This window comes from Homo sapiens, chromosome 12, assembly GCF_000001405.40.
Source record: "Homo sapiens chromosome 12, GRCh38.p14 Primary Assembly".
Lineage (NCBI taxonomy): Eukaryota > Metazoa > Chordata > Mammalia > Primates > Hominidae > Homo > Homo sapiens.
Window position 1 is genome coordinate 121,817,779 of NC_000012.12, and position 18,848 is coordinate 121,836,626.

Here is an 18,848-nt window from a genome sequence, read left to right on the forward strand (position 1 = left end):
CACTCTTCCTTCTCCCCCAGGATGACGACGATGACGACAGTGATGACCGGGACGAGTCTGAGAACGATGACGAGGACACAGCCCTGTCAGAGGCGAGTGAGAAGGACGAAGGGGACTCGGATGAAGGTGAGCAGGGAGGCCGTGGCTGCCTGGCCCTCCCGGAGTCCCTCTTTCCCCGGGGCAGAGCCTGAGCAATTGTCAGAAATACTTCTGAGCCAAAATGTTGTGCTTTTGAGACGTTACCTTGTTAAAACACACACACAGGGTGGCGTACGGTTCCATCTTCAGGGAGTGCCGTGAACATAATGGCATGTCCATAGAAATAGAAAGCAGGTCTGTGGTCCTTAGGGCTGGGGAGCCCGGTGTTCAGGGGGGCTTGCTCAGCCTACATGGCTTCCTTTTCAACTGATAAAAATACTTAGGGACCAGATCGAGGTGGTGGTTGTGCAACATTACAAATGTACTAAATGCTGCTGGAATTATCACTTTGTAACGAGCAGTTGGCCGGACGCAGTGGCTTACACCTGTAATCCCAGCACTTTGAGAGGCCTAGGCGAGTGGATCACCTGAGGTTAGGAGTTCGAGACCAGCCTGGCCAACATGGTGAAACCCCGTCTCTACTAAAAATGCAAAAAATAGCCAGGCGTGGTGGTGGGCACCTGTAATCCCAGCTACTTGGGAGGCTGAGGCAGGAGAATTGCTTGAATCCAGGAGGCAGAGGTTGCAGTGAGCTGAGATCATGCCACTGCACTCCAGCCTGGGTGACAGAGTGACACTCCACCTCAAAAAAAATAATAAATAAAATTTTTTTTACAAAGTGAGCAGTTTTTGGCTGGGCGCAGTGGCTCACGCCTGTAATCCCAGCACTTTGGGAGGCCAAGGCAAGTGGATCACGAGGTCAACAGATCGAGACCATCCTGGCTAACACGGTGAAACCCCGTCTCTAATAAAAATACAAAAAATTAGCCGGGCATGGTGGCAGGTGCCTGTAGTCCTAGCTACTCAGGAGGCTGAGGCAGGAGAATGGCGTGAACCCAGGAGGCGGAGCTTGCAGTGAGCCGGGATCGCCCCACTGCACTCCACCCTGGGCGACAGAGCGAGACTCCGTCTCAAAAAAAAAAAAAAAAAGTGAGCAGTTTTCTGTTATGTTAATTTTACCTCAGTTTTTAAAAGCGACTACTAGCGGCCGGGTGTGGTGGCTCACTCCTTTAATCCCAGCACTTTGGGAGGCTGAGGCAAGTGGATCACCTGAGGTCAGGAGTTTGAAACCAGCCTGGCTAACATGGTGAAACCCTGTCTCTACTAAAAGTACAAAATTAGCCGGGCGTGGTGGTGCATGCCTGTAATCCCAGCTACTTGGGAGGCTGAGGCAGGAGAATCGCTTGAACCCAGGAAGTGGAGGTTGCAGTGAGCCGAGATCGTGCCACTGCACTCCAGTCTGGGCAACAAGAGCAAAACTCAAAAAAAAGAAAAAAAAGACTCCTAGTGAACACATGCCCCACACACATATCTGAGGGCCGTGTTCAGCCTGGGTGCCACCAGTTTGAGGCCATTGGTGAGGGGTCTGGTGGGGGCTGGGGCACAGCGGGTCCTCAGGCAGCCCCTCGTCTGTGTCCCCCATCCAGAGGAGACAGTGAGCATTGTAACCTCCAAGGCCGAAGCCACGTCGTCCAGTGAGAGTTCCGAGTCTTCTGAGTTTGAGTCAAGCTCCGAGTCCTCGCCCTCATCCTCGGAGGATGAGGAGGAGGTAGTGGCCAGGGAAGAGGAGGAAGAAGAGGAGGAGGAGGAGATGGTGGCCGAGGAAAGCATGGCTTCTGCAGGCCCTGAGGACTTTGAGCAGGACGGGGAGGAAGCGGCTCTGGCCCCGGGGGCACCTGCAGTGGACTCGTTGGGCATGGAAGAGGAGGTGGACATCGAGACTGAGGCTGTGGCCCCTGAGGAGCGGCCCTCCATGCTGGACGAGCCCCCCTTGCCTGTGGGTGTTGAAGAGCCAGCGGACTCCAGGGAGCCGCCTGAGGAACCAGGCCTGAGCCAGGAAGGGGCCATGTTGCTGTCTCCAGAGCCCCCTGCCAAGGAGGTGGAGGCTCGACCCCCATTGTCCCCTGAGCGAGCTCCAGGTAACACCTGCAACCCCCTGGGAGGGTGGTGGGAGGGAGGCAGGAAGTCCTCACTGTCAGAATCAGCCCGGGCTTCCTGGGGTAGATCGCTGACCGTCCCCAGCCTCAGTTTCCCGTGTAAAACGAGATCAGCCGGTTGTGCCTCCCTCGAGCGAGATGAGGTGTTGGGTGCCAGCACTGAGCCTGGCACTGCATGGATCAACCCAAAGGGGAACGACTGCTATTTTTCAGTCCTCACTGCCAGCGTTTCCCTGGTGGCTTGGTCCTTGGACCATCAGTCCCATGAGATGCTCCCCAAAAGGAGGATGGGTGTCCATGGTCACTTGAGTGACAAGTCGGTGGGGTAGGCCCTGGGGTGCTGGGCCAGGTGAGGGCTGCAGGCATTGCCCCCTCCGGCATCGTGATGCTGCTGCACAGAGCATATGAGAACTCTAACTGCATGGCCAGTAGAACTTTCCACAGTGATGGCAGCGTTCTCAGGCTGTGCTGTCCAGCACTGTAGCCTTCAGACACAATGTTGCTACCAAACTCTTGAAACGTGGCCAGTGGCACAGTGGAACTGAATTTATAATAGTGTTCAATTTATTTTGGCTTACATAGATAGCTGCATGTGGTTAGCACCTACCTCTTTTTTTATTTTTATTTTTATTTTTTTTGAGACATAGTCCCGCTCTGTCACCCAGGCTGGAGTGCAGTGGCACGATCTCGGCTCACCGCAAGCTCCGCCTCCCAGGTTCACGCCATTCTCCTGCCTCAGCCTCCAGAGTAGCTGGGACTACAGGCACTCGCCACCACACCCGACTAATTTTTTGTATTTTTAGTAGAGATGGGGTTTCTCCGCGTTAGCCAGGATGGTCTCGATCTCCTGACCTCATGATCCACCCACCTCGGCCTCCCAAAGTGCTGGGATTACAGGCGTGAGCCACCATGCCCGGTCCTAGCACCTACCTTTAATAAGTCCTTCAGGAAAGGATTACAGCTGCCCCTGTACATTGAACACATGGCTAGGGCCCACGGACATGCAGTTTTCAACCAAATATGGACGGAAAAGACCGGTGGGATGCGAAACCCACTGTATATGGAGGGCGATCGCCTATACGTGGGTTCTGCAAGGCAGACTACAAGCTTTGAGTATGTGCAGATTTAGGTATACCAGGGAGTGTTAGAACCAATTCTCTGTGTGTATTGAGGGACGACTGTGTTTTGTTTAATGTAATGTATTTTGTTTTGTTTATTCCACCATTAACCACAGTCTTTGAACATTGACTCAATACTAAGCCTCTATTGTGTCCCTGCTATTATTTTAGGCAGTAGCAATGCAACAGTGGACCAAACAGACAAAAATATCTGCTCCCACGGAGCAGGGGAACAGATGACAACAGATCAATTAGAAAATGAAAAACAGGTGGCAGGCTCCTGTAATCCCAGCTACTTGGGAGGCTGAGGCAGGAGAATTGCTTGAACCCGGGTGGCAGAGGTTGCAGCGAGCCGAGATCGTGCCACACTGCACTCCAGCCTGGGCGATAGAGTGAGACTGTCTTAAAAAAAAAAAAAAAGAAAGAAAAAGAAATGTGCCGGGCGCGGTGGCTCACACCTGTAATCCCAGCACTGTGGGAAGCCGAGGTAGGCAGATCAACTGAGGTCAGGAGTTTGAGACCAGCCAGGCCAGCATGACGAAACCCCATCTCTACTAAAAGTACAAAAAATTAGCAGGGCGTGGTGGCACGTGCCTGTAATCCCAGCGGCTTGGGAGGCTGAGGAAGGAGAATTGCTTGAACCTGGGAGGAGGAGGTTGCAGTGAGCTGAGATTGTGCCATTGCACTCCAGCCTGGGTGACAGAGTGAGACTGTCTCGAAAAAATAAAAATAAAATAATGTAAAAATAGAAAATGAAAAAGATGTATTCTGTGGTCGGGCATGGTGGCTCACATCTGTAATTCCAGCACTTTGGGAGGCCAAGGCTGGCGGATCACTTGAGGCCAGGAGTTCAAGACCAGCCTAGGCAACATAGAGCCCATCTCTACAAAACATTTAAAGATTAGCTGGGCGTGGTGGCACATTCCTGTAGTCCCACCTACTCAGGAGCCTTAGGCAGGAGGATCCCTTGAGCCCTGGCGGTCTAGGCTGCAGTGACCGTGATCATGCCACTGCATTCCACCCGTCTCAAAAATAAAAAAATAAGTAAATTCATTAAAAAATTAAGAAGTGTATCCTGTGACAGTGGAGATAAGTGCTAGGAAAAAAATCCTTGAAGGCTCCGACAAGTCCTGCAGAAAAGAGACTTGTTGAATTTTATTCAGTCATAGAGCAGATTTTCTTGGGCCACAGGGACTTTGTTCTGAAGACGTAGTATGAAAGGCTGGAATACATGTCTCCTGCATCTGTGATTTAGCCTAGCAACATTGATAAAGCACATACTGTGTGCCTGACACTGGGTTGGGCGCTGAGGAGTCCTTGAGGGGTTTAGCTGGAGAAGGACAGGTCCCGTGCTCAGACTCAGGGCTGTGAGCCTGCCAGGTATGGAGCACAAAATAAGGCACTGAGAGACGTTTGGATTGAATAGTAAATGTCTCGTGTTCGCTCACCTCTCTGCAGAACATGACCTGGAAGTGGAGCCGGAGCCCCCTATGATGCTCCCCTTGCCGCTGCAACCACCATTGCCGCCCCCACGACCACCCCGGCCACCCAGCCCACCGCCGGAGCCTGAGACCACAGATGCCTCACACCCATCTGTCCCTCCGGAGCCCCTTGCCGAGGACCACCCCCCGCATACTCCAGGCCTCTGTGGCAGCCTGGCCAAGTCGCAGAGCACAGAGACGGTGCCAGCCACACCAGGCGGGGAGCCCCCGCTATCAGGGGGCAGCAGTGGCCTGTCCCTGAGCTCTCCGCAAGTGCCCGGCAGCCCCTTCTCCTACCCAGCCCCGTCCCCTAGCTTGAGCAGTGGGGGCCTCCCTCGGACACCTGGCCGGGACTTCAGCTTCACACCCACCTTCTCCGAGCCCAGCGGGCCCTTGCTCCTGCCCGTCTGCCCACTCCCCACTGGCCGACGCGATGAACGCTCCGGGCCCCTGGCCTCCCCGGTGCTCCTGGAGACGGGCCTGCCCCTCCCTCTGCCCCTTCCCCTGCCCTTGCCCTTGGCATTGCCCGCCGTCTTGCGGGCCCAGGCTCGTGCGCCCACCCCGCTGCCACCCCTGCTGCCCGCCCCCCTGGCCTCTTGCCCTCCCCCAATGAAGAGGAAGCCGGGCCGGCCCCGGCGATCCCCACCATCTATGCTCTCCTTGGATGGGCCCTTGGTCCGACCACCAGCAGGGGCCGCCCTTGGAAGGGAACTCCTGCTCCTGCCGGGCCAGCCACAGACCCCCGTCTTCCCCAGCACCCATGACCCCCGGACGGTGACCCTGGACTTCCGGAACGCGGGGATCCCAGCCCCTCCACCACCCCTTCCCCCCCAGCCACCCCCACCCCCACCTCCCCCACCTGTAGAGCCCACCAAGCTGCCCTTTAAGGAGCTAGACAACCAGTGGCCCTCCGAGGCCATTCCTCCGGGCCCCCGTGGGCGCGATGAGGTCACTGAGGAATACATGGAGTTGGCCAAGAGCCGGGGGCCGTGGCGCCGGCCACCTAAGAAGCGCCATGAGGACCTGGTGCCACCTGCGGGCTCGCCCGAACTCTCGCCACCCCAGCCCCTCTTCCGGCCCCGCTCGGAGTTTGAGGAGATGACCATCCTGTATGACATCTGGAACGGTGGCATCGATGAGGAGGACATCCGCTTCCTGTGTGTCACCTACGAGCGACTGCTACAGCAGGACAATGGCATGGACTGGCTTAACGACACGCTCTGGGTCTACCATCCCTATATCCTGCTGGCATGGGGGGCTCTGCACCTTCTGGGATGCAGGAAGTCCCTGCTCACCTCTCTGGGCCCCACCACCCAGTCTGTAGCAGCCCGCGGTGCCCATGAAGGTGACAGCATGCACCACCGTCACTTCCCAAGCAGGGTTTGTGTCCCGGCACCATGCCAGGCTCCCGAGTGAATCATTGGCACGTTTTAAGGACTCCCTCTGCGCCAGGCCCATCTCACCCCCAGAGTTAGCAGGTCTCAGGGTCACATGTAACAGCAGTGCCGTGCAGCTTAACAGCACACACGGGCGCAGGGCCTCCTTGTCCTGTCCCCTTCATAACCTCAGGTAATCCCGGTAGCCTGGTGAAGATGGGGGCTATGATTCCCATTTTACATATGAAGAAGCTAAGGCTCAGAGAGGTTCAGTGACCTGTCCAAAGACACAGCTACAGGTGGCAGAGTTGAGATTTGAACCCAGGCAAACCTGGCTCTAGAGTCCAGGCTCTTCACCACCAGGCTTTCATGAGGCTTGGCTGTTCACATAGGCCAGTGAGGCTAGACCTCTCATTATCCCTGCTGTATTAGACTGATTTGTGAGCACTCAGTTTGTGTCAAGAGCTCTGCTCAAGTGCCGGGCACCATGGCTCACAGCTGTAATCCCAGCACTATGGGAGGCTGAGGCGGACGGATCACTCGAGGCCAGAAGTTTGAGACCAGCCTGGCCAACATGGCAAAACCCCATTTCTACTAAAAATACAAAAATTAGCCGGGTGTGGTAGCACATGCCTATAATTCCAGCTACTCTGGAGGCTGAGGCAGGAGAATTGCTTGAACCCGGGAGGCACAGGTTGTAGTGAGCCAAGATCGCACCACTGCACTCCAGCCTGGGTGACAGAACAAGACTCTGTCTCAAAAAAAAAAAAAAACTCTGCTAAGGACCATAAGCATATTTCATCACTTGCAGAGAGGCATCACTGTCACCCCAATTTACAGATGGGAAACTGAGCAGAAAGTTGTTAAAACACCCAGCACTTTGGGAGGCCGAGGTGGATGGATCACTTGATCTCTGGAGGTTGAAGCCAGCCTGGGAAACATAGCAAAACCCCATCTCTACAAAAAAAATCCAGAAATTAGTTGGGTGTGGTGGCGCACGCCTGTAGCCCCAGCTGCTCAGAAGGCTGAGGCTGCAGTAAGCTGAGATTGCACCACTGCACTCGAGCCTGGGCAACAGGAGACCCTGTCTCAAAAAAAAAAAAAAAAAAAAAGACACCTAGAGCCATGCAACTAGGTATTGACCGTCAGCAGGGTTGGTCAGCGGGCAGCCACGTGGAGGTGGCATGGGAGTGGGCAGTAGAACTGGACATCGCTGTCCCTGAAGGGTGGTCTGAGGATGGGCGGGACCAGTCTATGAAGGGACCAGAAGGGGCTCTCAGAATGTCCATGTGGCCCTTGACCCACACCCACCCACCAGCCTCTCTTCAGCTAAGAAGAAGAAACGGGACGATGGCATCCGCGAGCACGTGACGGGCTGTGCCCGCAGTGAGGGCTTCTACACCATCGACAAGAAGGACAAGCTCAGATACCTCAACAGCAGCCGTGCCAGCACCGATGAGCCCCCCGCAGACACCCAGGTACTGCCAGGGCTCCTGGACACATCAGAGCCTGCTGGGCTGGGCCACGGGGATCCAGGGCACTCATGGAGGGGTGCCAGGCAGAGGGAGGAGTTGTGAGGCCAGAGGGGCTGGCACACAGAGGGTGCAAGTGGAAGGGGAGAGGCGGGTGGGCGGGGCCTAGGAGAAGGAAGGAGTTTGCCTTAGTCCCATGGGCCCTGGAGCACCTCCAAAGGGTTTAATTAGGGATGTGACGGAGCTGTATTTCCGCAAGTTCATTCATTTTTTGTTTTTTGCTTGGGTTTTTTTTTTAGGGGGGGACAAAGCCTTGCTCTGTCACATAGGCTGAAGTGCAGTGGCACAGTCTCAGCTCACTGCAACCTCTGCCTCCTGGGTTCAAATGATTCTCCTGCCTCAGCCTCCTGAGTAGCTGGGATTACAGGTGCCCACCACCATGCCTGGCTAATTTTTTGTATTTTTAGTAGAGATGGGGTTTTGCCATGTTGGCCAGGTTGGTCTCGAACTCCTGACCTCAAGTAATTCGCCTGCCTTGGTCTCCCAAACTGCTGGGATTATAAGCATAAGCCACATCGCATGGCCTCATTCATTCTTTTTTTAATCCAGTAAATATCTGTTGAGTACATGCTGTGTACCGGGCACTGTTCTGGGTCTATAGCAGTGAACAAAACCAAATCCTATTCCTCGTGGAATTTAATTATTTATTTTTATTTTTAAATTAAAAAAAAATTGAGACGGGGTCTCACTCTGTAGCCCAAGCTGATCTGGAACTCCTGGGCTCAAGCGATCCTCCCGTCTCAGCCTCCCAAAGTGTTGAGATTATAGGTGTGAGCCACGGTACCCAGCTGGAATTTATATTTTAATGGGGACTCATAGGAAATAATCAAGTGAAGAAAGAAGCACGTAATTCCAGGCAGGGAAAATGCGATGGAGAAAACAGGAGAGGGGTTAGGGATTACCAAGTCAAAGGGGAGTCAGAGAGGGTCAGACCCAGGCGAAGTGTGGGAAGGCGCCATGTGGATGCCAGAGAGACTACAGAGAAGTGAAAAAGCGACTTCCATAAAAAGTTAAAACCAGAGAGGGGCTCACTGACCCCAGCAGGCCTCCCTAGGACAGCAGCAGTGCAAAGGCCCTGAGGCAGCAGGGAGCTCCATGGTGTGAGGAAGGGAAGGGAGAGGCCACTTGTGGGAGAGACAGCACAGGCCACCAGGGTCGGGGGTACTGTGGTGGTAAGTGACCTGTCTCCTGGGGTGACAGGCAGCAGAGGGAGGTTGTGAGAGGAGCTGGGGTGGTGTGGAGCTGGTGCAGGGGTCCTGAGGGCAGACTGTTCGGGTTGCTGCGGTTTCCAGACCGGATGTGCCGGACTTAGCTGGGCCGCGAGGAGCCATTAGCTGTGGAAGAATATGAGGAAGTGGGATGGACAGGACCAGGGCTGGCCTGGGTACAGGAGACAGGGATGGGCGGGGGGTGACAGCCCAGGGTGTGGCTGGGGTCGGGGGTGCTGGGAAGCTGGACACCAGGCCTGAGATGGGGAGGCTGATATGCTATCACCACGAGGCAGCTTGAGTTCTGCGGGTTCTGAAAACACCCAGGCAGAGAGGTCTTGGTGGGCATGTGGGTATGGCGGAGCTTAGGATGGGGATCTCCGGCCCGGGGACCTAAGTGTAGGCATCGCCAGGAGAGAAGTGGTGACTGAAGGTCACAGCAGGGTGACCTCACCTGGGAGGGCACTTGGGGCAGAGGCCTGGGATGCTCCAAAGGTTAATGGCTGGGGCAGAGGCCCAGGGAGGCCAAGAGCAGGACGTGACACAAGGGTTTCGGAAGGATCCCCGATTTTGAACGCTTGTGGGGTGAGAGGGGTCTGGGTGAGAGCCAAGGAGGGGGTCAGGGTAGACAAAACTTTCGGCTGAAATGGGGAAAAGACAGCGCCAGGCAAGAGTGAGTCTCGTCGTTTTGAAGATAGAAGGAGCTTGAGACGCTCAGATACTGATGGGATGGAGGAGGCAGGGAAGCGGTGACAATTAGGGACCGACAGGTGTGGAGAAGCCCAGAGCAAGGAGCCCAGGACACTGGGGATGACAGAGATCCAGAGCCTAGGGTGGGACCGCCGAGGACACGGCCAGCTCCGCTGAGCCCCGCACACCGTCCACTGCAGGGCATGAGCATCCCAGCACAGCCCCACGCCTCCACCCGGGCAGGCTCGGAGCGGCGTTCGGAGCAGCGCCGCCTGCTGTCCTCCTTCACTGGCAGCTGTGACAGTGACCTGCTCAAGTTCAACCAGCTCAAGGTGAGGCCGGGCTTCACCCAGATCGCCGGGGTGGCGGCAGGACCTGAGACCGGGGCTCACCTCTCCCCCTCTTCCCTCCCACAGTTCCGGAAGAAAAAGCTCAAGTTCTGCAAGAGCCACATTCACGACTGGGGCTTGTTCGCCATGGAGCCCATCGCGGCTGACGAGATGGTCATCGAGTACGTGGGCCAGAATATCCGTCAGGTAGGCACCGCCCGGCAGGATGGGCACCGGGGTGGGCATGGGGCCGGCCCAGCCAGACTGACCCCCTTTTGTGGCCAGGTGATCGCAGACATGCGGGAGAAGCGTTATGAGGACGAGGGCATCGGGAGCAGCTACATGTTCCGGGTGGACCATGACACCATCATCGACGCCACCAAGTGCGGCAACTTCGCGCGCTTCATCAACCACAGCTGCAACGTGAGTGCCCAGCGGGGGGTGGCCCCTGCCCCTGCTCCTGCCCCTGGCCCTGCTTCTGTGCCAGGAGGGCCTGGAAGCCCCGGCACGGGAATCAGCTCGGCCTCCTTCCCAAGCTCAGGTTGGCCAAGGGTTATAGGGAGAGGAGGACATGTGAGGTCTTTTACCAGGAGCTCTACTCCTCTGAGCCTCAGTTTCTCATCTGTCAAATGGGCATAGTGAGACTTCTGTGGCATTTAGAGGACTCAAAGAAGTGGTTGGTTCAGTTCATTGGTAATTTCGGAGTTATTTCTCTGCGTTAGCCTTTTCTCCGTGCCTTCATTGGTCAGGCTCAGTCCTGCTCGGGCCGAGCTGTCCACTAGAACTTTCTGCAAGGGGGAGGTGCACTGCGTGCATCTGTGCTGTGGGTTAGCCACATGTGTGGTGGTGAGCACTGGAAATGTGCCCAGTGCATCTGGGGACCTGAGTTTTAAATTTTATTTCATTTTGATGAATTTAAACTTAATTAGCTTGTGACGACTGTATTGGGTGGTGCAGGCCTAGAGGGGAGGGACACTGATAACAGGGATTTGAGTGCTGAAGGAAGAGCACAGGAAGCTCTGAGCAGGAGGCAGGCATGTTCCGGGGTGGATGCCCCTGACTTTGGGTTCAAGTCTTGGCATTGCAGCTTAGTGAGTTACTTAATGTCTCTTATGCCTGAGTTTCCTTGTCTGTAAAACAGAGACAATAACAGTCTCTCCTTTTAGGTTGTTGGGAGGGCCACATAGGTGGGTCACTGCACGTGGGCCATTTGAGTGCTGGCCAGGCCAGTCCTCAGCGCCTGCTGGCTCTCTTCGTTGTGACTTGATCCTTGCCTGGGTGGTAGGGACTTTCCTGTGAATATCCGGGGAGATCTGAGGGGTGAGAGGGAATTGCCCAGGGGAAGCGGTGCTGGGGCAAGGGGAACTGCGTGTTCAAAGGCCCTGGGGCAGTTGGGAGAACACCTGTTTGAGAGATAGCAAGGGAGGCAGTGGGCATGGGGTGGGGTAAGAGGATGGGGTGGGCAGGGCTGAGGGTGGCCAAGCTGAGGAACTAAGTTTCTCTGAGAGCCAAGGTCGCTGGAAGGTTGGAGCCATCGGGCAACAGGTTCTGCTATCCCTTTGGAAACGTTTCCCTGGCTGCTGGGGCAGGAGTGGATTTTTTCAGGGGTGAGAGTGGCCAAGGGGGCTGTAGCAGGCGGGTGAGCAGTGATGGGGGCCTGAGCGTGGCTGGTGGCCCCAGAAGTGGAGAGCAGTAGACACAACCAAGAGGCCCTTCCGGGACTGAACTCACCGGCCCTGGTTGGGGCCAGATCTGGACTGAAGGAGGCAGGGAGGCAGATGCTCTGGGGCCTGGGTGTGTGGTGCAGCGGCTGCCCAGAGCAGGAGCAGATCATGCTTTAGGTGTGAGCTAAGTCAAAGACAGTACCCAGGGCTGCCACTGGCAGACAGCAGGTAGTTGCATTTATGGGCTTGGAGGCCTTTACCTTTTCTGTAAAGGGCCAGATAATAAATGTTTTTGGCTTGGTGGCTCAGATGATCTCTATGGCAACTACTGAACTTGGCTATTGTAACAAAAGCAGCCACAAATTATATGCAAATGAATGGGAGAATGGATATGGCTATGTGCCAGTAAAACTTTATTTACAAAAACAGGCTGCTAGGGGCTATAGTTTGCTGACCCTTTTTTTAGAGCTCAGAAGTGAGACCTGAGCTAAAAATAGACATACATTTGGGAGGCACTTGTACTACGAATGGAAATGAAAGGCCTGGGAAATAATTTTTATCATCATTATTTAATATCAGAGGCAAGGGGTCACCCCTGGGGGTCGGGGGAGCCAAGGTCCAGAGCAGAGCAGTGGGCTGGGGGTCACGTGGCATGTCAGGCCTTAAGCACAGGCCTGGTTGGGTTTGGGGGGTCTGCAGTGGTGGGGGACCCTGGGGGACCAGGGGCTCATTCTCCCCCCCACCTTGCCTGCAGCCCAACTGCTATGCCAAGGTGATCACGGTGGAGTCACAGAAGAAGATAGTCATCTACTCGAAGCAGCACATTAACGTCAATGAGGAGATTACCTATGACTATAAGTTCCCCATCGAGGACGTCAAGATCCCCTGCCTCTGTGGCTCCGAGAACTGCCGGGGGACCCTCAACTAGGCCCCGGCACCAGACTCAAAGGATGTCAGCCGTAGCCCTGGGACTCCCGAGCGTGGAGCCCCTGGCCCCGGGGCCCGGCCCCCCGCGCCCGCCCCCATTTCAGGTGCTGTCCTCTACCCAGCGGCCATTCAGGGCCTGGCGCCCCACACTACCCCCTGGAGCCCCTGGCTCCGGCCCCTCCGCGGGAAAGGGCTTCTCTGTCGTTCAGCCCACGTCTCTCTCATTTTAACAAACGCCCCTTTCAGGATTTCTGTTTAACTCCAGCATCAGCTTCTCTCTCTCCGTCTCTCCTCCCCTCTCTCTCTTCTCTGTCTCTTCTCTCTCCCACCATCACCCTCGGCCTCTTCCTGTGAATGCTGCTACGTTGTTTTGTCTTCTCTATTTTTTTCCTCGTTGTGAGAAAAGACATTTAACCGTTGAAATGTGAAGGTGGAATCAGAGAGGGGCCCCGCGGGGGTCTGCAGAGGCCTCAGTGTGGCTGTGCGTGGCCCGTGTCCTGGAAGCCACCCGGACCTGGACGCAGGGCCAGGTGCTGTGGGAAGGATGGAGGCCCCCACGGCCTTGACCTCAGAACACTACGCCCTGAAAGCGCCCCTCACTGCCCGTGGGCACAGTGAGGAGACCCCACACCTTTCCCCACCCGAGCTGCAGCCTGTTCCTTCCCCAGAGGCCTGGGGCACCACTGACCCGGTGGACCCTGATGGAGCTAAGCTGTCCCAGGCAGGGGTCTCCGCTCTGGGCTTTCCCTGCCACCTCACACCCCAGCACCCCCTAAACCTTGGGTTCAATGTTTACTTTCTCATTCGGATGCCAGCAACGCGGGAGCCTCTCGGAGGCCCCAGTGCAGGTGAGGGGCGCTGAGAACGCGGGCAGCCACTCTCTTCTGCCCTTGCCTTCGCCCTGGGTGGGACAGGGCTCCCAAGGGCAGGCGGGTCCCCCAGTCCCGCCATTACGGGTTGTCAGACCGTCTGCGTGTGGCATTTTTTGGCTTATAAGCTTCACCCACTCACCCCCAACCCACACCCCACATCCCCCTGCCGGCAGCCCCTCAACCTAAGAAGGCCAGAGCATATTTATTTTCGGAGGGAGCAGATTACTTCTCCCAGAGAAAGGAAAATCTTGGAAAAGATTTAAAAACACAAATCTAAGCCTTGACGGTTTTTTTTTCCCTTTTGACCCCCTTCCCATCTCTTCAGAATTTATTCCCATGGCTTTTTTTTTTCTTGTGCGTGTATAAAATCAAAAGGAAGGGGAAAAAGGTTTTTGAAGTTCAGAACCAACTTCTGTATATAGAGGCTGCCGCAAAGGACTTTCTCTTGGGAACATTGTTTCTTGTAGAAACATGCGGGAAGACATTTTTTGCTCATTTCTTTGTACTTCCAAAAAAAAAGGAAAAAAAAGACAAAAGCAAGTCCCCCCGTACCCCAGAAAGCAGAGGAGGCGTGTAAATAATTTCTGGAAAGTGACTGTTGTGACCCGGAGTCCTCATCAAGATGAGCGCGCTCCATGAGGGAGCTGCTCCCACCCTGCGGACGCAGGCGGCCGGAGCCTCTGGTATCTCAGCTTGTGTCAAGCTTGTTATCATGTAAATTCTGTACAAAGAATTGTTATTTTTCTCTTTTTTGTTGTTGGTGGTTTTGTTGTGTGTTTTTTGTTGTTTTTTTTTTATTCCTTTCCCCCAGGCCCTCTCTATTTGAGACTGTGCCCGCCGGTTTCAAGATCAAGGAAATTGGTGGCAACAAGACACAGATGGGGTACCTGGGCACAGCGGCGAACTTCTCTTCCGTTTGCGGTTTTCTGCCTAATTGTGCAACTGAGGAAATAATTTATTTTTCACATGAGGAAATGCGTAGCTTGTAGAGACGGCTGATTCAAGTTACATGTACAGCCTCCAAAGGGCTGTCTCCATTCTGTCCCCTTCCCATAAAAGAAGTGGGGGTGTTCGAGAAGACCAGGGAAGGGACCCTTGCCTCACCCCTCCCCCTGGCCTCACCTTGCTCCCAGCCATCGTGCCCAGTGTTAACCTCGGCTGGCCTTCACTAAGGGGACTAGACCTCCCTCTCCCCAGGAGCCCCAGCCCCAGAGTGGTTTGCAATAATCAAGATATGTGTCGAGTCATTTTTCTTTCAACTCCCTCATTTTTCATTGAACAAATCTCTGCTTTTCAAGAGTTGGGGGTTTCTGCTATTTTTTGCTTTCTCTCCCTCCCCCTGCAAAGATGAGAACCAATGAGTTTTAGGGATGTTTGTGCGGGTAGACTCCATCATCCATATGTAACTTGTTTTGAAGAGAAGTGTTTCCGTTGTGTGTCTTGATGTAAATATTTGTTCATATTTTTGTGAATTCAATACTATGTACCATTGTATTATAGTAACTTTTATAAAGCAAACCATAAATATACTGACTTTTCTTACAGATACGCCGTCTCTCTTGCTCTCCTCTCTCCCTCTCCTCTTTATTCTTTCTTTCTGTTGGGAGCACATCCTGCTTCTGTGGAGGGTGGAGTGGTCCACTCAGACACTCAGATCAGCAGGGGTTTTTTTGTTTGTTTTTGAGACAGGGTCTCACTCTGTCACCTCAGGCTGGAGTGCAGTGGTGCAATCATGGCTCACTGCAGCCTTGACTTCCTGGGCTCAAGTGATCCTCCCACCTCAGCCTCCTGAGTAGCTGGGACTACAGGAGCACACCACCATGCCCAGCTAATTTTTAAGAAATTTTTCTGTAGAGACGGGGTCTCCCTATGTTGCCCAGGCTGGTTTCAAACTCCTGGGCTCAAGCAATCCTCCCACCTCAGCCTCCCAAAGTAGTGGGATTACAGATGTGAGCCACCGTGCCCAGCCTGAACTTGTAGGTGGGTTTTGTGAAATGGGCCAAATTATAGTCACCACTAGACCTTCCACAGCTTTTAAGTGTGATTTCTAGATTTTTTTCTTAAAACCTCAGGTTTCTGACTCATGAGGTCTGCAATGAAGGAAATAAGATCAGGTATCCTTTTACTATCACTAGAAGAACGTAGGTGGTTCCTCAGAAATGTTTAACACTTAAGGAGATGCCCCCCTGGTCTGCATTTGAGGGAGGAAAAAGGGCTGATAAAATAGTAGAAGTTGAGAAGAATTAAATCTATCCTGTATTCATGGCATTTCAGAGATGCTGTGCCCCAGTCAGTCTCAGCTCTGCTTGACCCAGTAGACGGGTGATAAAGGGCTTATAGTTGGCGTCCACGGTAAATGTCTCCAAGAAGACGTAAAACCTTAGCAAAAAGCAATATGCCTGAAAAGACGCTGTACGTCACTTCCTACTGGAGAAATGTGAATTATCCCAGGATGCCGTTTCCCCCTGTCAGGTTGGCAAATATTAAAAGGTGGAGGAAACCCAATTTGAGGGAGCAGGAGGCTGGGGTACTCTCGTGTGTCATTAGGGGAAGCCAAAAATCACTGCAACCTTTAGGAGGAAAAATACCTATTAGTAATCATTATTTAAAATGCACACGGCCGGCACGGTGGCTCACGCCTGTGATCCCAGCACTTTGGGAGGCCTAGGAGGGCAGATCACCTGAGGTCAGGAGTTCGAGCTAGCCTAGCCAACATGGTAAAACCCCATCTCTATTAAAAATACAAAAAAATTAGCCGAGTGTGGTGGTGCACGCCTGTAATCCCAGATACTTGGGAGGCTGAGGTGGGAGAATCGCTTGAACCCAGAAGGTGGAGGTTGCAGGGAGCCGAGATCATGCCACTGCACTCCAGCCTGGGCGACAGAGTGAGACCTCGTCTCAAAATAAAATGATCAAATGCACACAAAAGTCTTGGCTCCGTTGTTCCACTGTGAGGAATTGAGCCTGACAGATACAGTGGGCAACAATATGAAGAAGAGTGTTCTTCGCAGCCTCATTTCTGGTATCAACGAAACGAAGGGAGAGTAAATTGTCCGTTCACAGTGGGCTGCTTTTAGGAATTGTGCATCCAGACAGGTGGACACTCCCGTAAGTGGATTCATGGGAATAGAGGGCTGAGGTCCGGGCTGAGCCAGGAAAGAGAAGGAAGTGTCTGGCCATTAATTCAATCAACCAATATTTATTGAGCACCTTGTATGTGCCAGGTACTCTTCTAGGCTCTGGGGATAGGAATGAAGGAAACATACTGTTCTTGAGGGCGAGCCAGACAAATGTGAAAAGTAAGTGCAATAGTAAGGAGGAATAAAGCTAAGAGAAGGGGGTGTAGCTGAAGGAATATACAATTTTACCTTTATTATTTATTTTAGAGACAAGGTCTAGTTCTGTCACCCAGGCTGGAGTGCAGTGGCATGATCATAGCTCACTGCAGCCTCGATCTGCTGAGCTCAATGATCCCCCCACTTCAACCTCCTAAGCTGATCAGGGCCATAGGCACACTTTACCATACCAGCTAATTTTAAAAATTTCTTTTCTTTTTTTTTTTCTTGAGACAGAGTTTTGCTCTTGTTGCCCAGGCTAGAGTGCAATGGTACAATCTCGGCTCACTGCAACCTCCACCTGCCGAGTTCAAGCAATTCTCCTGCCTCAGCTTCCTGAGTAGGGATTACAGGGATTACTAGGATTACAGGCATGTGCCACCAAGCCCAGCTAATTTTGTATTTTTAGTAGAGATGGGATTTCTCCATGTTAAGCATGCTGGTCTCGAACTCCTGACCTCAGGGGATGTGCCCTCCTCGGCCTCCCAAAGTGCTGGGATTATAGGTGTAAGCCACCGCGCCAGGGCTTTTTCTTTCTTTCTTTTCTTTCTTTCTTTCTTTCTTTCTTTCTTTCTTTCTTTCTTTTTTCTTTTTTTTTCTTTTTTTTTTTTTTTGTTGTTGTTGTTGTTGAGACAGAGTCTTGCTCTGTCACCCAGGCTTGAGTGCAGTGGTGCAATCTTGGCTCACTGCAACTTCTGCCTTCTGGGTTCAAGCCATTCTCCCACCTCAGCCTCCCGGGTAGCTGGGACTACGGGCATGTGCCACCATGCCCGGCTAAGTTTTTTGTATTTTTAGTAGAGATGGAGTTTCACCATGCTGGCCAGGCTGGTCTCCAACTCCTGACCTCAAGTGATCCGCCCGCCTTGGCCTCCCAAAGTGCTGGGATTCTAGACATGAGCCACCGTGCCCGGCCTTTTTTTCTTTCTTTTTTTTTTTTTTTGAGGCAGTCTCTCTCTGTTGCCCAGGCTGGAGTGCAATGGTATGGTCTCGGCTCACTGCAACCTCTGCCTCCCAGGTTCCCAGGTTCAAGGGATTCTCATGCCTCAGCCTCCTGAGTAGCTGGGACTATAGCTGCGCACCACCATACCCAGCTAGTTTTTTTATTATTAGAAGAGACGAAACCCTATCTCTATTTTTTATTTTATTTATTTTATTGAGACAGAGTCTCACTCTGTCGCCCAGGCTGGAGTGCAGTGGCGCAATCTCGGTTACTGCAACCTCCGCCTCCTGGGTTCAGGATATTCTCCTGCCTCAGCCTCCTGAGTAGCTGGGATTACAGGCATGTGCCATCATGCCCGGCTAATGTTTGTATTTTTAGTAGAGACGGGGTTTCACCATGTTGGCCAGGCTGGTCTCAAATGCCTAACCTCAAGTAATCTTCCCGCCTCAGCCTTTCAAAGTGCTGGGATTACAGGTGTGAGCCACCTGTATCCGGCCAATTTTTAAATTTTTATAGAAATAGGGTCTCACTATGTTTCCCAAGCTGGTCTTGAACTCCTGGGCTCAAGCAATCCTCTGGCCTCGGCCTCCCAAAGTGCCAGGATTATAGGTACGAGCCACTGCGCCTGTCTTCATCTTCTCTCTTGAACTTGCTCTCCTGTCATATTTTCTACTTTGGTCAATGACACTTCTGTTCTCTGCCTCCACCCACCGCTGCCTGCCACTGACCACCTAAGCTCAAAGGCCAGGGATCCTGGATTTAAACCTTCTCTTTCCCTCCCTTACCTACCAAATCTGATGCTTCTTCCCTATTCCTCAAATCCATCCACCTCTTCCTCTGCTCCTCAGTCCCAAGAGATAACTCCTTTCTTCATTGCCTCTATTGTATTGTGGGGGCCAAAATGGGAGCCCCTCTCCAGCTTCTCAGGAGGCTGAGGCAGGAGAAAGGATCACTTGAGGCCAGGAGTTTGAGGCCAGCCTGGGAAACATGGAGAAACCCTGTCTCTACTAAAAATACAAAAATTAGCCAGGCGTGGTGGCATATGCCTATGGTCCCAGCTATTAGGGAGGCTGAGGTAGGAGGATCGCTGAAACTGGGGAGATCAAGGCTGCAGTGAACTGTGATCATGCCACTGCTCTCCAGCCTTGGTGACAGAGACCTCAGACAGAGAGAGGGAGGTCCCAGACAGACTTGGGTTCCCTTGTGGGCAAGAGCCCCTCCCCCCAAAATAAGACTATTCA

At 53.4% G+C, this 18,848-nt stretch overlaps 1 protein-coding gene across 4 annotated transcripts in view; it reads left to right on the forward strand.

The window, feature by feature from the left end:
- Window positions 1-14,878, forward strand: part of SETD1B (SET domain containing 1B, histone lysine methyltransferase) — a 42,502-nt gene extending 27,624 nt beyond the window's left edge. For all 4 annotated transcript variants that reach the window (XM_047428553.1, XM_024448898.2, NM_001353345.2 and 1 more), the window contains exons 10-17: window positions 21-126; window positions 1,626-2,117; window positions 4,712-5,971; window positions 7,422-7,588; window positions 9,741-9,872; window positions 9,957-10,076; window positions 10,155-10,292; window positions 12,288-14,878. In XM_047428553.1, coding sequence (XP_047284509.1) covers window positions 21-126; window positions 1,626-2,117; window positions 4,712-5,971; window positions 7,422-7,588; window positions 9,741-9,872; window positions 9,957-10,076; window positions 10,155-10,292; window positions 12,288-12,461 — 2,589 coding nt within the window. In that variant the 3' untranslated portion in view covers window positions 12,462-14,878. The remainder of the gene's footprint in view (window positions 1-20; window positions 127-1,625; window positions 2,118-4,711; window positions 5,972-7,421; window positions 7,589-9,740; window positions 9,873-9,956; window positions 10,077-10,154; window positions 10,293-12,287) is intronic.
- Window positions 14,879-18,848: the final 3,970 nt, after the last annotated feature.